This window comes from Homo sapiens, chromosome 10 (genome assembly GCF_000001405.40).
Source record: "Homo sapiens chromosome 10, GRCh38.p14 Primary Assembly".
NCBI lineage: Eukaryota > Metazoa > Chordata > Mammalia > Primates > Hominidae > Homo > Homo sapiens.
Genome location: NC_000010.11, coordinates 107,434,501 through 107,435,805, shown reverse-complemented (window position 1 = coordinate 107,435,805; position 1,305 = coordinate 107,434,501). Strand labels below are relative to the sequence as shown.

General features: G+C 39.3%; 1 annotated feature.

Moving 5' to 3' along the window:
* Nucleotides 715-814: a silencer, noted in NCBI's record as "silent region_2801". NCBI's record gives its function as "represses an Ori minimal core promoter by ATAC-STARR-seq in GM12878 lymphoblastoid cells {active_cell/tissue: GM12878}" and the evidence as "EXISTENCE:reporter gene assay evidence [ECO:0000049][PMID:35858748]".

Sequence of the window (1,305 nt, the reverse complement as noted above, 5' to 3'; positions counted from 1 at the left end):
TTCTTCTTCTCATGACCCACCCAGAATTACCTTCTGAGTAACATAAGTTTTATTTAGAATTTGTAAAAATAAAATTGCTTCAGGGCTTAGACCCTATAGGCCAATCTTTGCTTGGAGACAATGTTTACAACTTAGCGATAAATTGGGATTGTTATCAAGGGGTTGACAGACTGTTACCTAAAGCACGGCTGGAAATAATGCCATAAAAATTGCTGAACATGGGAAAGTAAATGCTAATGGCTCCTGCAGTAAAAACAAGTTGGTAAAGAGCAATCAACACAATAAGAGTTACTGTGGTCAGTTTGGGGATGGAGTTGTGATAAGGTTAGGGATGTCATAATAGAGTCTTACTGGCCTGGAGAATGTCCTCCAGGACAGGACAAGGATTGGCTGGGAGTTTGCAAACCAGAGATCTAAGAGCTGATCCCTGGATAAGTAGTGGCTAAGGGATCTTTCTAAAGGTATCAGAATGTTATGTCTCAAAATACTGGAACCCTATAAAAGCTGGGATTCAGGCACAGAGAACAAGGCAAGAAGCTCATTTTCTTGCATGCGGACATAGACTTTTTTTCCCTTACCCCAGGAAACAAAATGGAACCACTTATTAGATTCAGGGAATTAGGTTTAAGCTCCTCTATGCTCAGAGATAAATTACATTTCTTAGTTCCCTTTGCAGTTGTGTTCAACTATGGCCCTGTGTTCTGACTAATGAAATGTAGGTGGAAGTCATATATGCGCATCCGGGCCCGTCCCATAACACTCACTCATGCATATTCGAATTCTTCATAGTTTTCCCCTGTCCATGGTTGGTTGGAGAAAGCTTTGAGATGAAGAGTCTTAAGATAGAGGAAGAGGAAGCCTGGTACCCTTAGTTATTCTTTAAAGAGGAGTCATGCACAAAAAATTAAAAAAAAAGAAAGGATGTGCACAGGCACATGCACAGACACATGTTCAATTACAAGAACCAAAAAATAAACCCATCTTAGCCTGTAGATTAAAAATAAACATTTATTTTATGAAGAAAATAAATGATGAGCAATTAATCTGCAGTTGGTTGACCATGGTGAACCTGAGTGGACTGTGATTTCCAGTTTTGCCATTCTGTAGGTGTTTTCTGGTAAAAGCTCCTCTCTATTCCTAGAAAACAATTCCCAATATCAGTTCATGTGGTTTGGGTTGGTTCATTCCAGCTTCTTCTGTATCTATATATAGTCTATATATGACTCAGGCCTAGATGATCCACCTATTCAATCTCCAAGCCTCCTACTTACATGCAGATTCATAACCCAAAAACCATCTCGTCAA